The following is a 25,235-nucleotide window of genomic DNA, read 5'->3' on the forward strand; positions in this document are numbered from 1 at the left end:
ACGAGCAGGGTCCCCAGCTGCCTCCTGTTACTGGGGAGGGGGAAGGATGAGGCCCAGAGCCCACCGAATGAGCAGGATGCCCCAGCTGCCTCCTGTTACTGGGGATGAGGAAGGATGAGGCCAGGAGCCCATCGAATGAGCAGGGTGTCCCAGCTGCCTCCTGTTCCTGGGGAGGAGGAAGGATGAGGCCAGGAGCCCATCGAATGAGCAGGGTGCCCCAGCGGCCTCCTGTTACTGGAGAGGAGGTAGGATGAGGCCAGGAGCCCATCGAACGAGCAGGGTCCCCAGCTGCCTCCTGTTACTGGGGAGGAGGAAGCATGAGGCCAGGATCCCATCGAATGAGCAGGGTCCCCAGCTGCCTCCTGTTACTGGGAAGGAAGAAAGATGAGGCCAGGAGCCCACCGAATGAGAAGGGTGCCCAGCTGCCTCCTGTTACTGGAGAGGAGGTAGGATGAGGCCAGGAGCCCATCGAACGAGCAGGGTCCCCAGCTGCCTCCTGTTACTGGGGAGGAGGAAGCATGAGGCCAGGATCCCATCGAATGAGCAGGGTCCCCAGCTGCCTCCTGTTACTGGGAAGGAAGAAAGATGAGGCCAGGAGCCCACCGAACGAGAAGGGTCCCCAGCTGCCTCCTGTTCCTGGGGAGGAGGAAGGATGAGGCCAGGAGTGACTCGGGAAGATGGCTTTTCAGAAAGCAAAGCATGGTGGCATGCTGTGCCCAAGGTGACTTGCCGCTTGTCCTTGGGATAAAATAGAACCAGCACCTCGCCTGTGGCCCAGTCTCCCCTGACTGGCTGCTCTCTCAGGTGGTGGCTGAGGGTTCCTAGTGCTCCAACACCTCCTCACCCATTCCCCACAGATCTGCGGCCCAGCATTCCTCTCCCTTCCCACTTCTCCTCCTCTAAAGGCCATCCTCACCCTCCCCACCTTCCTCTGCACCAACGCCCCCGCTCGCCCCTCACTGTGGCCCACGGGCTCAGTCTTCTCCATGCTTCTCACTGCATTGCATGGTCTTGAGCTTCATCTTTCCCACCATTAATACCTCCAGTGCAAGGCTGTGACACAGATCCTCTCCTTGAGTAATTCTAGTCGGGCTCCTCTGAACTCTTCTCTCAACAGGGTCCTGATTTGGGGGCTTTTGTGTTCTTTTATGCAGTGTCCAACTTTATCAAAAATCCCACTAAATCATTTTAAGTGGAACCCCATGCCCTTGCTGCCTGGTTATCCTTGATATCCGACCAGTTCCTCATCCTCCCGTTGTCCTGGCCTGGCTTCTGTGGGACCCTGTTCAGTGGCTTACCCTGATACTTCCTCTCCCAATTTTCCACCCACTGACCACCCTCTGCTCCTGGCTGTAAAACCCCCCATGTCCTTGTTGTATTTGGAGTTGACCCTGATCTCTCCCCACTGCAAACCCCATTGTCATGGTCCCTGCACCTATCCCAGTGCCCCTCACAGTCCCGTGAATATAGCCTGCCTTCCTATTTTTAAACAAGTTTCAGGATAACCTTTTTCATCAACATTTGACAAAGAATCAATGTTCAGTAAGTATGTGCTGAGTATCCAGTTACCAGTCTCCTTCCTACGGGCATCTCAGAGCAGACCACTGAGGAAAGAGGCTCAGGAGAGGCGGTGATGAGGGGAGGAGATTGGAAGGGGTGGTTTCAGGGTGGAACCCAGGCAAGGTGCTGGGCCCTGACTGGGGTGGGAGGACACAAGGAGACTGAGGAGGACAAGGAGTGAACAGCCTCCGTTTTACAAAAGTCTTGGAGGCCAGAGCCCCTTCCAAAGGACAAAAAGATTGTTTTCATCCTCAAGGAATTCTGGTTTAGGGCTTCCTCCCATGTTTAAAGAGGCTGGCCAAATCCCCCACTCAGGGTATCATTTCTGTGGGTGATCTAATTGGGTGATGTGCAGAAAGAGACGTAGTTATTCTTGTAGTTTCCATGCAGAAAAAGACACCACTCCCACACCAGCAGAGCTTCGTCCACGCCGGTCAGAGCGTTTCTTTTATGATGTGTCCACAAGGCTGCCCACGGCAGCGTACCCGACCTCGTCTCCTCCTGCTCTGTGTCCTTCTGAGGTGTCACAGGCATGGAACACACCACAGCCCATTCACTTGGGAGGCAACAACCAAGTTACCTGAGAGCTTGGGGGAAAATTACCAACAAAGAAATGCAACAAGGAGCTATGGGGTCCATTTATCTATTAAAAAAAGATTCAAAACAGCAACAATGATCATTGCTTGAGATGAAATTTTCTAACCTGTGCTTACCAGAATTAAAAACTATCTATATTGTAATCCACAATCAGAGAAAAGAAAACCTAAAACAAAAAATCTATTATCTGATTGCAGGTGCCTTTTTGCAGTAAGGGAAACGTGGGTCACTCCGAGAGCATTCCCTCTCACGGGGCCAGAGCTGCGGCTCCTTGAGGACTCCCTCCTGGAAGACAGCGCTTTGGTTATAGAAATGCCTTCACATTTCACATGGTGACTTTAGCCCTCCCCACACTGTTTGTGAGGCCCAGGGCTTCCCCATCCTCATCTCTCAATAGGGCAGAGACCCTGCGGGCCTGAGACAGTCATGGGGTGGAGGGAGCTGGGCCCAGATCCAGAAGCACTGGCCCTGAACCTACCCTTCCCACTTTCCTATACTCAGCCTCAAGTTAGCAAAACCGCACCCACACCTCCTGCTGGGAGAGGGAGGGACAGCTGGCCTCCCTAAGTCATCTGCTCTTATAAGAGAGAAAGACAAAAAGAGAGAGGGAGAGAGACAGACAGACAGAGTTCAGTGATTACTCATGCCTGTGAGCCAATATCACCAAATGAACAGAACAATCCCTACACAAAATCTTAGTGGATCATGAACTCCCAGGAGATGTTTTGGTAATTCAGAAGTGAACAATGAAAACCAAGTTCTGACCGAGTTTTAAAATTGTTGGCTGGAAACTTCCAAGGAGAGCTAGCACACTGGGTGGAGTCACTGCCTAGCCTTCTCCCACTGCGGGTGTGGGGACCTTGTGCCCAAGCCGGGGCTCTGGGTTCCTGGGACAGAAAGGCGGGACCCACAGCCCATGCAGCCATGCACACACAATGGCTCGCTTCAAATACAAGTTGCCAAAAGGAATTTTGGCTTTGTCTATGGGAACAATTATAAGTTTTAAAAACCGCATTTTCCCTCTGGATATGTTCTAAAATGTCAACTTCCATGAGTCTTTTACAAGAGGCATAGGCCTTTAGTATTAAGGCTATTGAATTTATCTCATCTTTAATAAAAGAAGAATTTGTTTTTGAAATTTAACAAGAATATAAATATCTTAATTATTATGTTAATTACTCTTGAAGGAATCGTAAACAAACAAAGAATGCGAAGCCTTCTACTCCTCAATTAAGTGTGACATTGATTGAAATGCAATGTGAATGTTCTCACAATATAACAAATTACTTCAATCTGGATTTAACCATGCGTCTCAGCTGCGATTATTGTTGCCCCCGCTGAGGGCGGAAAGGGGATGTGTTGGTAGGGTAGGGGAGAGGATGGAGAGAGCAAGAGAAAAAGAGACGGGGCGAGTCAGGCTCGCTGCCATTATGAACTGCCATCAAGTTCAGGAAATCCGCTCACACATGAATGGCCCCACATGCAAATCAACCTGGGTTTTCCTCCAGGGCTGAGTTGTTTGGTTCTGTGACCTTGAGCAAGTCAGTTCCACTCTCTAAGTGGCACATCTTTATTGTGGAATAACAAATTTGGAAGGGGAGGGAGTGGGGCTCTACTTCCAAAATCCTTCGTTCTGGAATGGCCTGGCCTGAGAGAGGAGTGGGCCAAGGAGGGGTGTGAACCCAGGTTGCTGGGAGAGGTGAGGGGAGCAAGTGCTCCAGGAGGAGCCTCCGAGGGGAGGGCAAGGTGGGGTGGGGGAGGGCCCTTCAGGGAAGGGGCCAGGGTGCAGAGTGCTGGGGTCTGGAGCAGGAGATAGACAGTGGGGTCTCCCTCCGCACAGTTATGGAAGCCTGTGCTGCCCCTCCCCCCCCTTCTCTCATCATCAATGTTCTTCAAACTTTTACATCACCTAAAGGGCTCTACTGAAACACACATTGCTGGGCCCCAGCCCCAGTAATCCCCCCTTGATAGGACAGGAGTAGGCATGAAGAAATTTGCATTTACAATCCCATTTTTAATAGCTACAAAAACAGTAAAATACCTAGGAACACAGATAACCAGGGAGGTGAACGATCTCTGCAAGGAAAACTACAAAACACTGCTGAAAGAAATCAAAGATGATACCAAAAAATGGAAAAACATCCCATGCTCATGGATTGGAAGAATCAATATCATTGAAATGGCCATACTGTCCAAAGCAATTTATAGATTAAGTGCAATTCCTCTCAAACTACCAATGACATTATTTTCACAGAATTAGAAAAAGCTATTCTAAAATTCACATGGAACCAAAAAAGAGCCCGAATAGCCAAAGCAATCTTAAGCAAAAAGAAGAAAGCCAGAGACCTCACATTACCGAACTTCACACTGTACTACAAAACCACAGCAACCAAAACTGCATGGTATAGGTAGAAAAAAGACACATAGACCAATGAAACACAAAAGATAACCCACAAATAAAGCCACGCATCCCATCTTCAACAAAGCTGACAAAAACAACAAATGGAGAAAAGGCCCTTAATTCAATAAATAGTGCTGGAATAACTGGCCAGCCATACGCAGAAGATTGAAACTGGATCCTTCCCTTTCACCATATTCAAAAATCAACTCAAGATGGATTTCAAAGACTTCAGCGTAAGGCCTCAAACTATAAAAATCCTAGAAGAAAACCTAGGAAATGCTCTTCTCTATATGAGTCTTGGCAAAAGACTTATGGCTAAGTCCTCAAAAGCAATTCCTACAAAAACAAAATTGACAGATGAGACCTAATGAAGCTAAAGAGCTTCTATACAGCTAGAAAAACTATCAACAGAGTAAACAGACAACCTGCAGAATGGGAGAAGATACTCACAAACTATGCATCCAACAGAGGTCTAATATCCAGTATCTATAAGGAGCTTAAATCCACAAGCAAAAGACAAATAACCCCCATTAAAAAGTGGGCAAAGGACATGAATGGACGCTTCTCAGAAGAAGAAATACAAGCAGCCAACACATATATGAAAAAATGCTCAGCATCACTAATCATCGCAGAAATGGAAATCAAAACCGTAGGCAGACACCATTTCACAGCAGTCAGAATGGCTTTTACCAAAAAGTCAAAAAGTAGCAGATGTTGGTGAGGATGCAGAGAAAAGGACACACTTATACACTGTTGTTGGGAATGGAAATTAGTCCAGCCACTGTGGGAAGCAGTTTGGAGATTTCTCAGAGAACTCTGAGTTGAACTACCATTCAACCCAGCAATCCCATTCCTGGGTATATGCCCAGAGGAAAACAAATCATTCTACCAAGAGGACACATGCACCCATATGTTCTGCAGCACAGTTCACAACGGCAAAGATGTGGATCAACCCAGGTGCCCATCACTGGTGGATTAGATAAACAAAATATGGTACATACACACCATGGAATACTATGCAGCCATAAAACAAAACAAAATTATGTCCTTTGCAGCAACATGGATGGAGCTGCAAGCCATTGTAGTAAGTAAATTAACATAGGAACAGAAAATCAAATACCACATGTTCTCACTTATAAGTGGGAGTCAACGCTGGACACTCACAGACACGGTGAAAGGAAAATAGATCCAGGGACCCCCAAATCACTTAGCTAAAGGGAGAAGGGAGAAGCCAAGCTGAGAACTGCTTAGGACCAACCTGCCTCCCGTTCTATTCAAAGTCACTCCTCTGCTCACTGAGATAAATGCACATCTGATTGCCTCCTTTGGAGAGGCTCATCAGAAACTCAAAAGGAGGCAACCATTTGTCTCTTACCTACCTATGACCTGGAAGCCCCCGTCTGCTTCGAGTCTTCCTGCCTTTGCTTCGAGTTGTCCCGCCTTTCCAGACCGAACCAATGTTCATCCTACATGTGTTGATTGATGTCTCATGTCTCCCTAGAATGTATAAAACCAAACGGTGCTCTCACCACCTTGGACACCTGTCATCAGGACCTCCCGAGGCTGTGTCACAGGTGCGCGTCCCCAACATTGGCAAAATAAATTTTCTAAATTAACTGAGGCCTGGCTCAAATTTTCCAGGTTCACAACACAAAGAAGGGAACAATAGACAAGATTAGCAGATGATTTCAAAACGGTCATCTTTCAGTAACTTCAATAATTCAGGCTGGGGAGACAGGTTAGAGAGGGGTCCTCAGCCAGAGTGGTTGGCTGCACAGAACGGATGGTGTGCCTTCCTGCAGGGTGGCTCCACCCCACACTTTCCCTCTGCCCTGGCCGCAATCAGGTGTGGCCCGAAAGGCAGCCCTAGAGACTGGAGCATGGAGAGTAGTGAGAGCTCTCACTGGCCCAGACTCCTTCTAGAGGAGTCACTGGAGCTGGCTGGAGTTGGCCCCTGTGCCGCCCTGGGGCGGGGTCACTGCAGAGATGCTCCCCAGGCACCGTCTCCCCAGGTGTCTTCTTCCCCTGCCCCTTCAGGCCCCACAGCCACCTGTTGTTGACCCAGAGAGTGCACCAGCCCTCGGCTGGGTTCCCTACTTCCTGCTCTGTGGATTGTCCTGACACTGTCCTCCAGCCACGCAGCCCCAGGGCGCTTTTGTCTCTCCTGGGATCCTGGCTGAGACCAGTTTCTTAGGGCTCCCTGCAGACCGGAGTAGGGTGGAAGCACCTGTCCTGTTGCAGGTTAGGAAGCTGCCAAGCAGAAACCCAGCATCCTTGCTGAACCTGGGGTGCTGCTGGCTGATCTGGGATCCCCCAAACTACCCGGGCCTCAGAATCACCTGGGGAGGTTGCTTCAAATGCATATGCTGGAGTCCCTCCCAAAACCAGAGTCAGAATGTCCCGAGATGGCACTCAGGAGCATGGGCCTTGCTGCCGCCATCCTCTCCTCCCCCTTGGTTATTTGGGAGCCTGGATCTGCCTTCGCTGAGCACACAAGGAATCACTGCATGCCCTGTGACTGGGACGTGCCCTGTGACTGGGACATGCCCTGTGACTGGGAACAAGATCACTGCTGTAGGAGGGTCACTGCTGTCTCCCTAGCTCCCAGCACCTCTGTAATCCTGCACGGTGTGGGCGCAATGCGGCCCAGGTCCCTGTCACCCACTGCTGTGCACCAGTGATGCTGCCGTCAGAAACGGCCCCACTTGGGCACAGAGACGGCTGGAAACCCTGAACTCAACAGTTAGGTTTGAGAAAAAAAAAAAAAAGAACAGTTGAAATCCTCCAGTTGATCTTCCTCACTTTGAAGAACTTTGAACTTCTGATAAGAAGGCAGCCTGAGATCAACGACGACAGATCCATCGATTGGTCACGGTTCAGTTCCGTCCCTGACTTCTGTGTCCTTGGAGGACCAGGGCCTGGTTCAGTCTGTTCCCACTGGGAAACCTTCTTGCTGTGCAGTGAGCACCAGGCTGGCGGGTGGAGACCCTGGCCCTCGTCTGCACCCACCTAGGGGCAGAGACACAAGGCCCCCTGCTGCTGGCAGCCTGGGCTTCTCACGGGTGGTGGCTGCTCACGGGGCTGCGGGTCACTCCTGTCCTCACACCCAAAGCAGCCCTACACCCAGGCCAGGCATCCTTAGTCCGGCAGAGTCTCTCCCAAGGGGGCAACAGTTCGTGGTGGCCAAAAATTCTTGGCCATTGCAATATTTGTGATTCTTGGGAGGGTCAACACATGAACAGGTTTATAGTTCCTGTGTGGGGTCAGAAAAGGAACATTGAAAAGAAGATCTTGATAGTAGCCTCTAATGGCTGCATTGGGACCCACAGCTAATAAAACCAAGGCCTCTAACCTAAAACTGGCCTCTTGCCCATGTAACTGGGGTTTGTTAAATATTTCACTGGCAGGTACTGGTCATAAACCTGTTTATCATAAACCTGCAGAATAAAGACAGGAGGGAACCAGTCTCCCTCCAGCCCCCACTCAACCGCATACAGGAGGGAACCAGTCTCCCTCCAGCACCCACTCAGCCGCATACAGGAGGGAACCAGTCTCCCTCCAGCCCCCACTCAACCGCATACAGGAGGGAACCAGTCTCCCTCCAGCACCCGCTCAGCCGCATACAGGAGGGAACCAGTCTCCCTCCAGCCCCCGCTCAGCCGCATACAGGAGGGAACCAGTCTCCCTCCAGCCCCCGCTCAGCCGCATACAGGAGGGAACCAGTCTCCCTCCAGCCCCCACTCAGCCACATACAGGAGGGAACCAGTCTCCCTCCAGCCCCCACTCAGCCACATACAGGAGGGAACCAGTCTCCCTCCAGCCCCCACTCAGCCGCATACAGGAGGGAACCAGTCTCCCTCCAGCCCCCACTCAACCGCATACAGGAGGGAACCAGTCTCCCTCCAGCACCCACTCAGCTGCATACTTACCTTATCATGTGGGCAGTGCCACCGAGCGCTCATCAGAATCTCAGGAACGTCACGGCTGCTCACCGCTTGCCTCTCCCACCTTCTGGGCCACATACGTCCGCCTGTTAGAAAATGTAAGTGCACGGTGCCTCATGGAGCCTGCTTTGAGATACATTCTCAGTGGACACAGATTCTGTGTTCCTGGGCCTAAGTCCTCCAGCTTGGCTCAGAATAAATCTCACCATGATTTCCCTCAGTTCTAGCGCTTGCTGCTCATCTTTGGGTCAACAGTGGTATTATAATTTCATTGCAGAGGTGAGGGCTTGACTAGGAACATAATGTCTAAAAATCCTCCTTAGCAGAATAATAATGAAAAAATGGTAAGGAACACTCTCGGCACACAGGCCTGTGAAAACTGGCAGGTGAAACTCATTGGCCATTCTTGGACTAGATCATGCAACAAATACACGAGAGTTGCTCACGACGTGCCAGGTGCCTCCCTTGCTGTTGGGAGTACAGCAGCGGGTGACATTCTCGACAGCTGAGAATCCTGGCGATTCCTCCTGAGGCTCCTCTCCAAGCCAGCGTCCAGGTTCCAGACACTTCCCACCCAGAATGTCCAAGTCCAGCCTGATGCTTTCCATTGCAGAGCCTGGGGGCAGCTCAGGTCCTCAACCCCTCACCCCCCAGTGACGTGCCATCAGCTGGAGCTGCCAGCCTGAGAACTCGGCAGTCCTTGGGTGCTTGGGAGCACAGCTCTGATACGGTTTGGCTGTGTCCCCACCCAAATCTCATCTTGAATTGTAGCTCCCGTAATTCCCATGTGTTGAGGGAGGGACCCAGCAAGAGATAATTGAATCATGAGGGTGGTTTCCCCCATACTGTTCTCATGGTAGTGAATAAGTCTCATGAGATCTGATGGTTTTTTTTGTTTTTGTTTTTGTTTTTTTGAGACAGCGTCTCGCTTTGTTGCCCAGGCTAGAGTGCAGTGGCACAATCTCAGCTCACTGCAACCTCCGCCTCCCAGGTTCAAGCGATTCTCCTGCCTCAGCCTCCCGAGTAGCTGGGACTACAGGTGCCCACCACCATGCCCAGATAATTTTTGTATTTTTAGTAGAGATGGGGTTTCACCATATTGGTCAGGCTGGTCTCAAACTCCTGACCTTGTGATCCTCCCACCTCAGCATCCCAAAGTGCTGGGATTACAGGAGTGAGCCACTGCGCCCAGCTGATCTGATGGTTCTATAAGGGGAAACCCCCTTTGCTTGGCTCTCATTCTCTCTTGCCTGCCGCCATGTAAGACGTGCCTTTCAACTTCCGCCGTGATTGTGAGGCCTCCCCAGCCACGTGGAACTGTGAGTCCATTCAACCTCTTTTTCTTTATAAATTACCCAGTCTCAGGTATGGCTTTATCAGCAGCATGAAAGTGGACCAACACAAGCTCCAAGGACAGGTGGGAGGAGGAGGCCGTGTGGCATCCAGAAAGAGCAAAAGGTAGCTCTGCGGTCAATCAGGTCCGACGGGGTCCCTTGCTGGATTTCCATCTTTCGTGCAGTTCAGTGATTGATGTAAAATGTCCTCAACTCAAACTGTCACGGCTCCAGCAGAGAACACACCGGTAAGGCCCAGCAGTCAGACAGGATGTCGTCACACCACCAACTCGGCAATGCTGGCTGATAAAACAGCCATCTCACCCTTTCTGGGGGTTACAGACATCCGGGTCACCTTCCTCCAGTCACTCACTTCTGTCCTGATCAGTGAAGCTCCCTGAAGCACTGACATGTCACTTGGTCAAAGGTCCGTTGCCGATTTGGGGCTGGAATTGTGCTAAGTCTGGGGATAAAGAGGTGAACGAGACGCTGACCGAGTCTTCAAGGAGCATCACTTACTAAAGGGGCTTTCATTATAGAACTAAAGCTTCCTTTGCACAATGATGACCGCATGTGCACCACCCAGGGTGGTCCGCAGGAAGACTCGGGTGATGCAGGATCCCAGGCAGGCGGCAGTGTGGGCCGCGGTGCACATAGCAGGCCCATAGGTCTGCTCATCTGCTTCCTGGAGTCTCTGCTAACAAGAAAAAGATCAGTGCTGTGAGCCAGTCCCAGGCGTGATGATCTTCTCAATATTCTAGAAGGCGATGGAGGGACCCGTCTTATGTGACTGCCACTTTGGGAATCCTGCATTTTAGAAGCCTTGGCCTGAAGCCTCATTTCTGTTGACAGTGCGTAGATATCCAAATGCTCTCTTATCTTTCCCCATCGAAATCTTCTCTCCAGAAAGTGCCCTAAGAAAACAAACACATGCAATGGCTTTGACCAAATGACTGTATCATCTCCCTCAGAGGAACAATGCAATGGCTGACTGTGTCATCTCCCTCAGAGGAACAATGCAATGGCTGACTGTGTCATCTCCCTCAGAGGAACAATGCAATGGCTGACTGTGCCATCTGCCTCAGAGGAACAATGCAATGGCTGACTGTGCCGTCTCCCTGAAAGGAACAATGCAATGGCTGGCTGTGTCTCTCTCAGAGGAACAATGCAATGGCTGACTGTATCATCTCCCTGAGAGGAAAAATGCAATGGCTGACTGTGTCGTCTCCCTCAGAGGAACAATGCAATGGCTGACTGTGTCGTCTCCCTCAGAGGAACAATATAATGCTGGCACTACTTCAGGCATCTCAGGTCAGTGAATGAGGCTGCTCTGGGATCTCGGGACATAGTGAGCCAGGGAGGGAGGTGGCAGAAGCCCCAGTGTACCAGCAAGGCACGCCCTAACCAGGGGTTGGGTGGGTGTGGATGATGCCAAATGCACAAACGCCCCACAGAAGCAAGGCTAATGCACAAAGTTTAGGCCCCCATATGATGACTTGCAACTGGGCAGGTTGCATGTCGTGCAGCTTTGGGAGCTGGATCCACGTGGCAGCCGTAGTATGTTTGTATATTTACGGTGAGAGTTTTCCGGCCAATGGAGGTCATGGGTCTGGAGGAGGGGGATTCATCACAGTGAAGTCTGGGCTAGTGGAGCTGCTGCCATTCCTATCAGTGGCCTTGAGACCAACTCCCCTGTAGCTGACCCGCAGCTCTCCCTTGCCTGCGGAGTCCCCTTCTCTCCTGTCTCCTGCTGGCGTTTCATCTGACACCTTTATGCTCACAGGACACACTGCTTGCCCCAGAACTCCTCTTGGACTCCTCCTCCACATCAGGGAGTGGAAAGGACGGTGCCCTCTTCCCCTGCAGCTCTAGGGGAACCCCAACCTTGATGTGACAAAGGCTGCCTGTTGAGTGCTCCATTCAGATGCGCCCCCTCTTCAGCCCTGCCAGGGGCTTCCCCAGGCCACTCAGAAAAAAATGGTCACCTTCTTTGAGGCTATTGGACCCTGCTTAGCTGTGGAGACTCCCCTGGAGCCCTGAGGCCCTTCCACCTGGGACACGATGTCACTGTCCCCTCCAATGGCTGCCCCAGCCCTGTTCCAGGGCTCCTCACTGCCAAGAGGTTTTCTTCACTTCCATGAGGAACAAGGAGCCCCTGTTGTGTGCTCCTGGGTGGTCCCGTGCTCTCCTTGACACATTCATCACACAGCCCAACACGTCACTCGTCCATCTTCTCTTTCTCCATGCTCCTTAATAGAGCAGAACCCAGCACAGTCTCTACCTAGTCCACGTCTAGGCTGTCTAGTCTATACGCAGTCTATATCTGGTCAATATCTCATCTACATCCAGTCTACGTCTAGTCTATAAGTATCTAGTCAATATCCACTCTACATCTAGTCTAATCTATATCTAGTCTATATCCAGTCTATATCTAGTCAGTATCTCATGTAGATTCAGTCCGTCTAGTCTAATGTATCTAGTCAATATGTACTCTACATCTAGTCTATATCTAGGCCATATCTAGTGTATTTCCATCTATATCCAGTCTTCATCAAGTCAATATCTTCTCTATATTTCATCTATTAATACATGCAGTCTACATCTAATCTGTATGTATCTAATCAATATCCAAACTACACCTGGTCTATAGCTAAGCTATATAGGCTGCAAGCCTGTATAGCTATACCCAGTCTCCATCTAGTCTATAGTCCATATGTAGTCTATACATAGCCTATATTTAGCCTATATTTGGTCTGTATTGACTGTACACAGTCTCCAGCCAGTCTGTATCTAACCTGCATGGAGTCTCTGCCTATTTTATATCTACCTCGGTCACAGAGCTAGGAGCACAGAGCCGGGCTCCCGGTAGCTGAATGAACAAGTGAAGGAAGAGATGGCAAGATGAATGATCATTGCTAATCTGGACTTGCTTACAGTCTCCACCACCGAGCTGAGGTTACTCTAGTGCCCACTCATGCTGACAGCACGACGATGCCCCAGGCAAAGCTCTAGCTACCTCCACACACGAGACCAGGGAGGTATTTATCCACAGGGTCCATAAGACAAACAATTCTGGAGCATCCAGAAGAGCCGTTTTCCCCAGTTACCTTCACAGATGACACAGCCGTGGCCCTCGGACCCCTGAGAGGGTGGGACTTGCTCTTTCTTGGCAGGGAAGGGGTTGACCCTGCCGGGATCTGGGTGCACAACATGGCGACTCTGCCCAACAAGCCGCTGCCGCCCCCGGCAGGTCAGACGGCTGTAACCTTTTTATTTTTTTTCTTTTTACTGACATTTATTTTGTTCAAATAAAATATACTGTTTTCTTTTTTTTTCTTTTTGTTTTGAGACGGAGTCTCCCTCTGTCACAACCTCCTCCTTGTGGGTTCAAGCAATTCTCCCACCTCAGCCTCCAGAGTAGCTGGGGCTACAGGCACAAGCCACCACGCCTGGTTAATTTTTTTTTTTTTTTTGTATTTTTGGTAGAGATGGGGTTTCACCTTATTACCCAGGCTGGTCTCATACTCCCAAGCTCAGGCGATCCTCCAACCTAGGCCTCCCAAAGTGCTGGGATTACAGGCATGAGCCACCGCACCTGGCCAAAAAATTCTTATTAGGTTGACAATTTTATAGCTGAAAATTGAGTCTCAAATAAGTTACATAATTTGTCTGAGCTCAAATAGCAATTAACGGGAATGGAGCTCACCCAAATCTCACGGCTTCAGGTGTACTATTTGCAAAAAATACAAAGACTCTGTGACCATCAGGCTATAAGCAAAGATCTTCACCTCTTAAAAAGTCACGGAGCCGGGCACGGTGGCTCACGGTGGGAGGCCGAGGCAGGCGGATCACCTGAGGTCAGGAGTTCGAGACCAGCCTGGTCCAAATGATGAAACCCCGTCTCTACTAAAAATACAAAAATTAGCCGGGTGTGGTGGTGGGCACCTGTAATCCCAGCTACTCAGGAGGCTGAGGCAGGAAGTCGCTTGAACCTGGGAGGCGGAGCTTGCAGTGAGCAGAGATCGCGCCACCACTGCACTCCAGCCTGGGTGACAGAGAGACTCCATCTCAAAAAAAGAAAAGAAAAGAAAAAAAAAGTCATGGAGCCCCACTACCGAAGTAGGACGGGGACAGAATCAGCCATGATTTCGAGTTAAGGTAAGGATGGTGGAGCAAAGCTCACCTGGGCTGTGCTTGTCCCCAGGACTTTACGTCTAGCAGGGAAGAGAACCGCGCTGGGGGCGGCGGGCAGAGACTCCTGGTGAGTGGTGAAGTCCGGCGCAGGTGCAGGCCTCACGGCTCACGCTGGACGCCTTCCCGGAGATTAGTCACCGTGGATCCGGCTGTGGGCAATGGGGAGCTACGGAGATATTTCAAGCAACAAGGATGAGGGGAGGAGAAGACAGGCTGAGCAAACACAAAGACAGGAAAGGTGTGTTTGGAATGCCTGGGGGAACTCAGTCACTCAGGAAGGAGGGTGCTGGGGAGGGCTGTGCGGCAGTTTCTGGAAGGCTCCCGCTGGGCCCAGGTGCACCGTCTTTTGTAACCACATTCCTGGCCTCTGCAAGGCTTGAGCTATTAGCCACTGGCCTCTAATTGCCAGATGTTCTGGGTCTGATGCGGCTGCTTCTCATCATAACTTCAGCTGCTTCTCATCATAACTTCAGCTGCTTCTCATCATAACTTCGTTGCCTTTACCTTCAGGCAGTGTAGGAAGTCAGGGAAGAGGTCCAGAATCTTCTCTTTTCCCTGCTGCCCGAAAGCATGAGTGAGTCTCTGTGTTTTTCTAAAAGTAATTATGGGATGTGGGGGAGGGTCTCTGAGCCTGAGGGCTCTAGGGGCAAGGCTGTGCTCAAATGACCGGGAAAGGAGAATTCAGCTCCTAGCCTGAGCTAAGCACTTTGATAGGAACATCTCAGGTCATCTGTACAGCAGACTCACAAGGTGGACGGCGTAATTGTCTCTGGTTTACAAAGAAAAAAAAAGATTTGGAAAGGTCACGTGAGTTGGTAAAGGCCACAGAGCTAATAAATTGCAGTCGTTTTATTACAAGCACTCAGGTTCCTAAAATTACACGATTTTGTCTTTCGGATGCGAAGCTTCCAATGAACTCTGCAATTCTATCCGTGTTTCGGATATCAAAGTTTTAATTCAATGTACACGTTGTTGCTCTACATTTGGTAAAATGAAGAGAGTACCCGACTCAAGGTCAGAGGCAGTGGGTTCGAGTCTTGGGTCCAGCAGTTCCTGACTGCAGGGCATGGGAGGCAGGGCACCGAGGAGTTAGAGAGAGGCCGCCGGACACAGCCCAGCCCAGAGCCTTCCCGGCAAGCTCAGGGTCCCGAGTCTCCACAGAGTGTGCGGCCACAACACGGCATCAAACATCCTGCTCCCTTCCCCTACACACCCTGAATCATAAGAAATGATGACCAGTGGTCATTCTCTGAGTTAATTTCTGGTGCAGTAATTTTTAAATAATACAAACATGAATGTTTTCCAGGAACTTCCTCTATAAACAGGTGCATACTAGTCACTCAGCCAGGCTCCAATCCTATGTCCTGATGAGTTTGCTTCTTGAGGACAAAACAACAAGAAAAGCAGTTTGCATGCTGGGAAGGATGCAGACAATTTTAAAAGCATGTGACGATAACATCATAGAGTACTTAACTTAGGGCTTTTTTTTTTTTTTTTTTTTGAGATGGAGTCTCTCTCTGTCACCCAGGCTGGAGTGCAGTGGCACGATCTTGGCTCACTGCAAGCTCCACCTCCTGGGTTCATGCCATTCTCCTGCCTCAGCCTCCCGAGTAGCTGGGACTACAGGTGCCCGCCACCATGCCCGGCTAATTTTTTTGTATATTTAGTAGAGACAGGGTTTCACCGTGTTAGCCAGGATGGTCCACTTACGGCTTTTAATTGTGGGTTAATAATCATTAAGGAGGTATGTTTTTGATAAAACACATTGAAGATAAAATTTTTCCTATAACTTAAGATTATGCTCAAGGTCAGAAAAAAATAATAATAATGAAAATCTGAAGATTTCTATTCCTTCTCTTCCCCAAACCACGGTAATAGAAAAGCCACACCAATTTACTGTCCATGTCTGAACAGTCATTGCAACTGATAAAGGAGTACACAGTGTTTCCTTCCGTCCTCCGCAGCACCAAACCAGTAACCGCAAAGTGATTCCTGAAAACTGTGGTTTCTTGGCGGTATTGTACTAGACCATAAGGGTGACATCCAGAGTTATGATGGAAAAAGGATCACTTTGTTAAGTTAGGGACACGTTCACGACATAATGGGAAGGACAATGGAGATGTTAGGCTTTCAACCTTGGCTTCCGCCCTCTGGAGTCCCCACAGTTGGAACAAAGAAACCCCAGATACTGTGATGGTGAACACAGACCGAGTTATTTTTAACAAATCCCACAAACATTAAAAACAGTCATTACTGGAGTTTCAGGAATCTTCCAGATTCAAACATGCTAACTGACTGTCAATATCCCCAGGTTTGGGATGTGAGCATATTTGTTACCATAAATATAAATGAAAGTAAACCTAAAATGGAAGACTTTAAGCACAAAGGCTTAACACTGAATACATGAAAAGCAAAACTGTAGTGGCTGTTTGGTGCCTTTGTTATAGCCACTAGGACATTAAGGACAACTTGGGAATGGCAACCCCTCAGCAGGACTGAGCTAAGGAGCCATGATGGGGCGTGCTTCCTCACAGTGGTGTGCAAACCGGGGTGGATACAGGCAGGCTGGGGTATCGGGCAGGTGCAATGCTCACAACTGTGTGCAACAGCGCATGGGGCTGGGCTGATGTTGGATGAGCTCTCATATTGTTTGGTGGCCTGGTGCAATGTGGCCAGCCTTCTAGGACCATTTTTCCTCATCTGTAATTACAGGATAATCTTAAATCCGTTCAAGCTGAGGCTCCCAACTGGTCACATGGTGGGGACTTGGATAAACTTAAAGCATGTGATAGCTTAGGAATAGATGACTCTTTTGCAAATACACTTTGCTCACTCATCTATTCCATCTCCGAGATTCTAGAGTGTCATGACTAGAATTGTGGGTGGTGATAAATTGGTTTCACCAGAAAAACTGTTGCATGAAACTCAGTGGATGCCAATCAGATGCCTTCCGGAAACTTTTGTCAGAAAACATTTGGGAAGTTCACTAAACGCATGGAAGAATCTTTTGGTGAATGCTTTGACAAACAAAAAACCACAGGCACAACTCATTTTATGCTTTGATTTATTGCACTTCACAGATACTGCATTTTTTCTTTTTTTTTTTTTGAGTTGGAGTCTCGCTCTTGTTGCCCAGGCTGGAGTGCAGTGGCGCAATCTCAGCTCACTGCAACCTCTGCCTCCCCGGGTTCAAGCGATTCTCCTGCCTCATCCTCCGGAGTAGCTGGGACTACAGGCACCCGCCACCACACCTGGGTAATTTTTTGTATTTTTAGTAGAGACGAGGTTTCATCACGTTGGCCAGGCTGGTCTCGTACTCCTGACCTCTGGTGATCCGCCCACCTTGGCCTCCCAAAGTGCTGTGATTACAGGCGTGAGCCACCATTCCCGGCCCACAGATACAGGTTTTTTTTGTTTTGTTTTGTTTTGTTTTTTTACAAATTAAAGGTTTGTGGCAACCCTGTGTGGAGCAAATCCAATGGGGCCATTTTTGTAGTAACGTGCTTACTTTGTGTCTCTGGCACATTTTGGTAATTCTTGCAATATTTCAAACTTTTTCATGATATCTGTTACGGTGATCTGTGATCAATGATCTTTGATGTTACTATTAATTGCTTTGGGCCCCGAATGGGTTATTCTCCCTCTCTTCAGACTTCCCTATTCCTTGAGACACAATAATGTTGAAATTAGACCAATTAATAATCCTACAATGACCCTAAGTGTTCAAGTGAAAGGAAGAGTCACATGTCTCTCACTTGAAATCAAAAGCTAAACATGATTCAGCTTAGTGAGGAAGGCATGTCGAAAGCTGAAATTGGCCAAAAGCCAGGTCTCTTGTGCCAAACAACCAAGTCGTGAATGCCAAGAAAAAGTTCTTGAAGGGAATTAAAAGTGCTACCCCAGTGAACACACTAATGATGAAACACAAATAATAAGTGAGACAGCCTTATGGCTGATATGGAGAAAGTTTGAATGGTCTGGATACAAGGTAAGTCAGATACAACATTCCCTTAAGCCAAAGCCTAACACAGAGTAAGGCCCTAATTCCATTCAATTCTGTGAAAGCTGAGAGTGGTGAGGAAGCTGCAGAAATAGACTCTGAAGCTAGCAGAGGTTGATTCTGAGGTTTAAGGAAAGAAGCCGTCTCCACAGCATGAAAGTGCAAGGAGAAGCAGCAAGTGCTGATGGAGAAGCTGCAGCAAGTTCTCCAGAAGCTCTGAGATCACTGATGAAGATGACTACATGAAACAACAGATTTTCCATGTGGACAAAACAGCCTTCTATTGGAAGAAGAAGCATTCCGGACTTTCATAGCTGGAGAGGAGAAGTCAATGCCTGGCTTCAAAGCTTCAGAGGACAGGGTGACTCTCTTGCCATGGCTGGTGCAGCTGGTGACCTTAAGTTGAAGTCAATGTTCATTTACTTCTGAGAATCTTCAGACCTTTAAGAATTATGCTAAATCAACTCTGCCCATGCTTTATAAATGGAACAAAGCCTGGATGACAGCACATATGTTTATGGCACAATTTACTGAATATTTTAAGCCCACTCTTGAGAACTACTGCTCAGAAAAAATCAATTATCTTCAAAATATTATTGCTCATTGACAATGCACTTGGTCATGCAAGAGCTCTAATGGGGATGTACAAAGAGATGAATGTTTACACAACATCCATTCTGCAGCCCATGGATCAAGTTATAATTTTGACTTTCAAGTAAGAAATCATTTCATTAGGCTGTAGCTGCCATAGACAGTGACTCTTCTAATGGATTGGGGCAAAGTAAACTGAAAACCTTCTGGAAAGAATTCACCACTCTAGATGCTATTAAAACATTTATGATCCATGGGAGCAGGTCAAAATATACACACTAACAGAAGTGCCTGTTAAAAAAGTTGATTCCTGCCCTCATGGATAACGCTGAGGGGTTTAAGACTTCAGTGGAGGCAGTAACTGCAGATGTGGTGGAAATAGCAAGAGAATTAGAAGTGGAGTCTGAAGATGGGACTGAATTGCTGCAATCTCATGATCAATCTTGAATGGATGAGGAGTTGCTTCTTGGGGATAAGCAAAGCGAGTGGTTTCTTGAGATGGACTCTACTCCTGGTGAAGATATTGTGAACACTGTTGAAATGACAACATAGGATTTAGAATATTCCATAAGTTTATGTGATAAAGCAGCAGCAGGGTTTGAGAGGACTGACTCCAATGTTGAAATAAGTAATTCTGTGGGTAAGATGCTATCAAACAACATCCCTTACTACAAATAAATCTTTCATGAAAGTAAGGCTAAACCAATGCGCTAAGCTTCATTTTGTCTTACTTTCCAAAATTGACACAGCCACCCCAACTTTCAACAACCACCACCCTAATCAGTCAGCAGCCATTAACACCAACACAAGACCCTCCACCAGCAAAGAGATTACAGCTCACTGAAGGCTCAGATGATCGTTCACTATTTTTAGCCATAAAGTATTTTTAAATTAAGGTATGTACATTTTTTAGACATAATGCTTTTGTGCATGTAATAGACCATAGTGTAATGTGAACACAGCTTTTATTCGCACCGGGAAACCAAAAAAATTGTATGACTTGCTTTATTGAGATAGTCACTGATTGCGGTGGTCTGGAACTGAAGCCACAATATCTCCCAGGTATGCCTGTATTTATGTCATTTGACATATAATTTTGCACACCAGAAACAGGTATTAAGTGTTAATAACAAAAAGCAATAGGAATGTTTCAATGCATTCTACATATTATTAAAACAAGATACATATGGTTAACTTTTGCTAGTTTTGCATTAGGCATTTCATTTAAATTAAAATTGGTATATGGCACTCATTCCCTCGTGACAGAAAAGCACCTAATTTGTCTTTTGTTGATTGAGGAGTGTTCATCCCATGTTCATAAACATTCCATGAAAGCAGCTCAATTTATCATTCTAATTTTGAAATGATTTGGCAATTTTAACAACATAATATTTAATTTTCGTTAATATTTCATTTTTCTCCTTACATAGATGAGTAGTATTTTTTCCAGGCCCTATAAAGATGCCCTCAGATCCATTCCAGTTTCCTTTAGAGCAGCATCCTCTCTCCCACCCAACCACAGCCTGAGGGGCTCAGCAATTGTCACATGTCATCCCCGACTTCTGGCCCCAGAGCCACACATAGCTCAGGCCTGGAAAGGGAGTGTCTGTCTTCCGTGCACTGTGCCCTCCTGACCTGCGCTCTTGCTTCTGGAAAAGCATCTGCCCATCTCAGACACCTCGGTGTGTGAATTGCTTGTACACTCCTCTCTGACAAAGAAATGTCCTTCTCCACAGCACAAAGATTCCAGGAGACAAGGGCATTTATTTGCCAGAGGTTTTTCCCAAGAGCTCACTCCCACCTGCCAAAATTCAGTCGGGTTAAAGCATCCCAGCTGCTTCGGAAAAGGAAGTCAACTTTATCTAATACCTTATTTTTAGTAATTTTTTCACATTTAGTCACAAAATGATTAGTGACTAGGACAGTTCTGGGGCTTCTTCCTGGACCTACCTCCTTCCCTTCTCAGGCTTTTGATCTCACCTGGAAAAGTTTTAGCCTCATGTACTGGTTTCAGGTAAAAAAAAATAAAGCCATTCTCCATTTGAAAATGTGACCCATTTATTTGAACTGAAAGGCATCATTACAAAGTGCAAACATTTCTTTGGTAATGAACTGAATACAATGGTCATAAAAAAGGCATTTGGCTGTTGGAGCAGTTAGAAAAGTAAATAAATATGTACATTCCACTCCTGTTACAGCGATCCCGCACAGTGGCTGCTAGACACGTTCACCCAGGCACTGCCCACTGTTCTGATTACAGAGAGTATCAAACTGGTGATTCCGCAGACATTTTGGTTTGAATTACAGAATTTTTTTTGGTAAATCACAGTCAGCTTCCCCCTTTGGCTTAGACAACACAATTCCTTGTGACTGGCCCAGACCGCACATTACGCAGGTGTGCTACAGGTGTGCCGCCTCAGCACTGAGACCATGAGGCCTCCAGGGCATGTAAGAGGCACAGAACACTCCCAGAACCCAGAATCTGCTGTCATCTGAGTGCCTGAGCAACTTACATAACCATCAGCTTTTAGACGAACTTACACATTTCCTATTTGACAGAAATCTCTTCCACAATTTGGTCACTACATTTGACTTGCTATTTCAAAAGAAGTCCACATGTCATGAAACACCAACCAATTTTTATCAATCACTTACCAATATGAGGTTAAGAAGTTAAGACAACCATTTTTACAGATAAAACACATGAATCCAATGACCTTCCTCACAGCTGAAATGCTGCCTCCGCCGCAGCAACTTGGCCGGCCCGTGCTGGAAGGGTCTGGGTGTCTCCTTGGGAGGATGTGCACCTGGAACACGGGTTGTGCACAAATCACACCAGGCACTGTATGCGCCCATCCTGTCAGAAGGAAGCTGGCCTCCCCCACCCCATGGAAGCCTCGACGCCATACCCCAGTGCTGGACACCTGCCACCCTGAACCGAAACGGCCCCTGACCTCAGGGGCTCCCTCCACCACCTCAGCTGGGCCTTGCTGCGGGCAGGTGGCCCGGACCTTGGTGCCTCGTGTGCCCAGCACTGTGCCTGGCACATGGTGGATACTCAGGTCAGCGTGCTGCACTGAAGCTGTGTGTTCGGGGAAAGGTTGCTCAGAACACAGATCGCTTTGTATTTAGAGAAAAATGGAAGGTTTTGGTCAATTAAAGAGAGACCATGAGGTATGAGAGTTGATTTTCACTGACGTCTAAAAGAACTTTGCATAGTGGAAATGGTTTTTCTGCCATATCTAATACCTAAAAAATGGACACAATTTCATAAAACATCACGCATTTTAAAAATACAAATGAGGTATAGGGATTCTTTTTTTTTTTTTTTTTTAACGCACTCACACAACCTGAAGTTAGACAGTTCCCGACACTTGAGCTCCTCCTCCCTTGGGAAGAGCCATCCGGAAGCGGCTCTTGTTCAGGACGTGGACGCAACCAGGGCCGGCTGGGAGCGGCGTTGTCAACACACACCCTTGGCCCTCGGCAGGTATCAGATACACAATGGGATGAAGGAGGTTTTTTCACATTTGGTTCACAACTAGGCAGTATGTGTGCAAGTGACAGCTGAAAGCAAACCTGTTTCTAAATGTGGCTTATGAATGTTCTAATCAGGTGTGGAAGGAGCTGACACACGGAGAGTCACAGGCTATACAGCTGCTTCGAGCAGCGGGAATGTTTGTCTTGGGATTAGATGCTGACGTGTGGTGAAATGTTACAGAGAGCCCAGAGGAAGGAGGAGTTCAGAGGTTCCCAGGGAAGAGGCCGGGGGCTTGCACTGCACCCCCAGACAGTGTCCCTGTGAACGCTCTCATCAAAGGTTCTGTTCCGTTTGCCAAACACCAATTTTCTTTTTAAACATAGCTTGTGATGGAACCCCGATTTCGGTGAGCCCCTCTGGCAGCTCCAAGACTCACCCCACCTGCGGGTGACAGGTCTGCCGGCTCCTGGCATCTGAACAAGGCAAGGCTGACATATAGAGGTATCCTGCTTTATTTAAAAAGAAATGGTGTTGGGAGGCAAAATCAATTTAGGCGCCTAAATGATTCAACTGTGCAATTTAATAGTAGCACCAATTTTTCATTTTAAAAGAATTAAATAAAAACCTGAGAAGTCTAACGTGAAGCTAGGACTCCTGCCTGCTTCCCTTCAGGCACCTGCTGTGCCTCCTTCTCCGCAGATGCTCTGGTTGGAAGCCTCCTGCACTGCCTTCTGTAACAGCACCAGCTGGACGTTGTCATGAAATGTCACGAGTTCTGGGTGTTTCCTGGTCTGCAGTCCGCAGCTCCCTGCCATCGGCCACCCGATCTCACGATGGCACAGCAGACAAACTCTGAGGAGCCTCCCAGGAGCCTAGGGCTTTTCCTCCGCCCTCTTCTGTAAGCAGACTGGACAGCAGGCCCCTGGGATGTTCACGGGGACAGCACAGGTGGCAGGGGGGCAAGCTTCCACGAAGCAGGTGACCTGCCCGTCCTGGAGAAGAGAGACGGAGCACAGCCTGTCAGCTCTGGGATGGCCTTCAGGTGAGCAAAGCCTGTCAGCTCCGGGACAGGTGTCAGCCACGGCCATGAGTCAGGCCTTGCCCTGAGGCCCCTGCCTTGCCCGCTGTACTTGCCCTGTGGGCATGGATTTTGTGGTTCTCTTAGGATTTCATAGTTGCAGACAGGTATGAGTTAATGGGAGCCCCCATAACAAGTCTCCCTGAGGCTCCCGTCCCACCCTTCCGTCCATGCCCACGGTCCTCTCACCCTGAGGGGCCAAGACCACCAGCTGGACACATCCTCCCACCTCACACCTGGATCCCCTCGGACTGTGTCTGGGGGTGGGCGTTGTCAGGAAGCAGGATGGGACTAGAGAGAGGGGGGAAGGGACAGGGCTTTGCTCTTCCCCGGTCTGCCCTTCCCAAACCTGACCAGCTCAGGGACACTGATGCGCGTCCTCTCCCAATGGCCATGGCAAGAGAAGTGCCCGGGCTGGCGCGCTGTCCTCCCCATCCTGCCTCCTCACACTATGCCCCAAGCTTTCCACGGAGCCTGGTTCCAGCCAGACGTCTGTCCATTGCCGGCACCAGGGCACCCTCCACCTGCCACCAGTCTCCCTTTGCAGGGACTCCAGTGACCTCTGTAACACCCCCAGCTCTGACTGGAGATGGGACAGGGCCAGTGGTGGGCAGGTCAGTGTTTACCCACCAGCTCTGCAGGGAGGAGCTGATCTACCCCATTCATGGGTTTCCATGGCATGAGTATTCCTGCCACAGCTGGTGGGAGGTGAAGCCAGTGCACACAAGCAGCCCCAGGTGGCCCTGCACAGAGTAGGGGCTGCCCGCCCTCTGTGGGGTTGGACCATGCTGAGGTTCTGGGCCTCCTAGCACGTCCTCTGTGCACAGAGAGCTGGGCTTGCCTGGTGCTTCCATAGGAGTGAAGGAGGGATGGAGGCCAGCACAGGTAGGCGGGGAGGGGCCTGGCCCTGACATCTGGGCCACCCACCTGAGTGGTCACATGGGACTCTCGGACTTGCGTATACCTTAGGACATGAAGATAGAGCCCCCCATACTCACTTTGCATTCACAAATGGTGCATGCATCTTTTTTCCACTTGGTGTTGTTGGCGTGAGATTCGCCCCCGGCATCCACGCACTCTGTGGTACTGAGCCGTGATTCAAGTTTCTTTATCTGCAGCAATGCAAAGAACATTCATTCATTGGGCACTTCAGAGTAACAGCTTGGCTCTTGTATTAAAAGATGTTATTTCACTGAAAATAATGCCTTAAAATAAACAACATTTGAGGGGAATATTTCTGAAGAACTTTTACAGAATCTCCAATGTCCTTATTAGACTGGCGGCAGCTGACCACACGCCCCAATGGAAGACATTCCCACCACCGTGCTGTCAAATAAAAACCGTAGTCACAAAGGCGACGTTCTCAGAGGACTGTGGGAGCAAGATTCAACCAGATGACGAGAACGTCCTGCACCTACACTTCCACCAGAACGAACGATGATCACTCAGAATCCCCAGAGTCAAGTCTGCCTTATTTTCCGAGTAACAACACCACTGGCTTTTCTCTGGAAGCACGGGGCCCCATAACAAGGTGACCTTTCCAACCGCTGTGCCATGCACAGGGGTAGCAGAAGCCTCCTGGAAGGGTCTCCTTCCTCAAACCCTCTCTTGCATCTTGCAGGGCCGGGGGGCAGACAGGGTGACAGTGGCCGGAAATGCCTGGGCCATGAGGTGACCTTGGGAAGAGGCCACCCACAGTACAGCACCAAGCTGCAGCAGGGACCCTGCACTGCGGAGGGTCCAGCAATCTCCACGACTGAGGGAAAAGTAAACTCGCACCTCATTAAAACCATCCTGGATTTGGAGTTTTCCGTCCCTTGCATTTGAACCTAAACTGTCTGTGATGTCTGAAATGAACACAAATTATTTATCATAAATATCCCAATTCTTCTAATAAGCCTTCATAAAGCATGCTCAGCCACAGGTAAGGCTGTCTGATGATGGCTGTGAATAACTTCAGCAAGCCACCCACTTACTCATGTCAATTAAAACATCTTCTTTGATCTCCTGTCAGCCATAAGTGTGTGGTCCCCAACCTGTGCAGCAGCAGTGTCT

General features: G+C 48.8%; 1 protein-coding gene and 2 long non-coding RNA genes across 16 annotated transcripts in view, besides 3 other annotated features; 1 reads left to right on the forward strand and 2 right to left on the reverse strand.

Moving 5' to 3' along the window:
* The window catches only part of LALTOP (lung cancer associated lncRNA targeting TOP2A), a 140,518-nt gene extending 126,328 nt beyond the window's left edge, over window positions 1-14,190 (reverse strand). For 4 of the 10 annotated variants that reach the window (NR_198950.1, NR_198951.1, NR_198947.1 and 1 more), the window contains exons 1-3: window positions 14,020-14,190; window positions 8,488-10,750; window positions 5,938-6,055 (exon numbers count right to left, since the gene is read on the reverse strand). This is a non-coding gene — a long non-coding RNA (lung cancer associated lncRNA targeting TOP2A). Of the gene's footprint in view, window positions 1-4,150; window positions 7,812-8,487; window positions 10,751-14,019 lie in introns of those variants that run through there. The other 6 variants (NR_198948.1, NR_198949.1, NR_198952.1 and 3 more) reach the window with 4 other exon arrangements.
* Window positions 3,696-4,415: an enhancer, noted in NCBI's record as "H3K27ac-H3K4me1 hESC enhancer chr2:1618697-1619416 (GRCh37/hg19 assembly coordinates)". NCBI's record gives its function as "activates a minimal SCP1, AML or CMV promoter by ChIP-STARR-seq in primed H9 embryonic stem cells {active_cell/tissue: H9 hESC(primed)}" and the evidence as "EXISTENCE:reporter gene assay evidence [ECO:0000049][PMID:30033119]".
* Window positions 9,934-10,513: an enhancer, noted in NCBI's record as "H3K27ac hESC enhancer chr2:1624935-1625514 (GRCh37/hg19 assembly coordinates)". NCBI's record gives its function as "activates a minimal SCP1, AML or CMV promoter by ChIP-STARR-seq in naive H9 embryonic stem cells {active_cell/tissue: H9 hESC(naive)}" and the evidence as "EXISTENCE:reporter gene assay evidence [ECO:0000049][PMID:30033119]".
* Window positions 14,026-14,855: an enhancer, noted in NCBI's record as "OCT4-NANOG-H3K27ac-H3K4me1 hESC enhancer chr2:1629027-1629856 (GRCh37/hg19 assembly coordinates)". NCBI's record gives its function as "activates a minimal SCP1, AML or CMV promoter by ChIP-STARR-seq in naive H9 embryonic stem cells {active_cell/tissue: H9 hESC(naive)}" and the evidence as "EXISTENCE:reporter gene assay evidence [ECO:0000049][PMID:30033119]".
* PXDN (peroxidasin) overlaps window positions 20,658-25,235 on the reverse strand; it is a 113,015-nt gene continuing 108,437 nt past the window's right edge. For all 5 annotated transcript variants that reach the window (XM_011510396.2, XM_047445789.1, XM_005264707.4 and 2 more), the window contains 2 exons: window positions 24,179-24,292; window positions 20,658-23,094 (listed from right to left, as the gene is read on the reverse strand). In XM_011510396.2, the coding sequence (XP_011508698.1) occupies window positions 22,975-23,094; window positions 24,179-24,292 (234 nt within the window). In that variant the 3' untranslated portion in view covers window positions 20,658-22,974. The remainder of the gene's footprint in view (window positions 23,095-24,178; window positions 24,293-25,235) is intronic.
* Window positions 22,802-24,985, forward strand: LOC124907723 (uncharacterized). The gene is made up of 2 exons (XR_007086188.1): window positions 22,802-23,144; window positions 24,456-24,985. It is a non-coding gene; the product is annotated as an uncharacterized LOC124907723 (long non-coding RNA).

The sequence above is a fragment of the Homo sapiens genome, chromosome 2 (assembly GCF_000001405.40).
Source record: "Homo sapiens chromosome 2, GRCh38.p14 Primary Assembly".
Taxonomy (NCBI): Eukaryota; Metazoa; Chordata; class Mammalia; order Primates; family Hominidae; genus Homo; species Homo sapiens.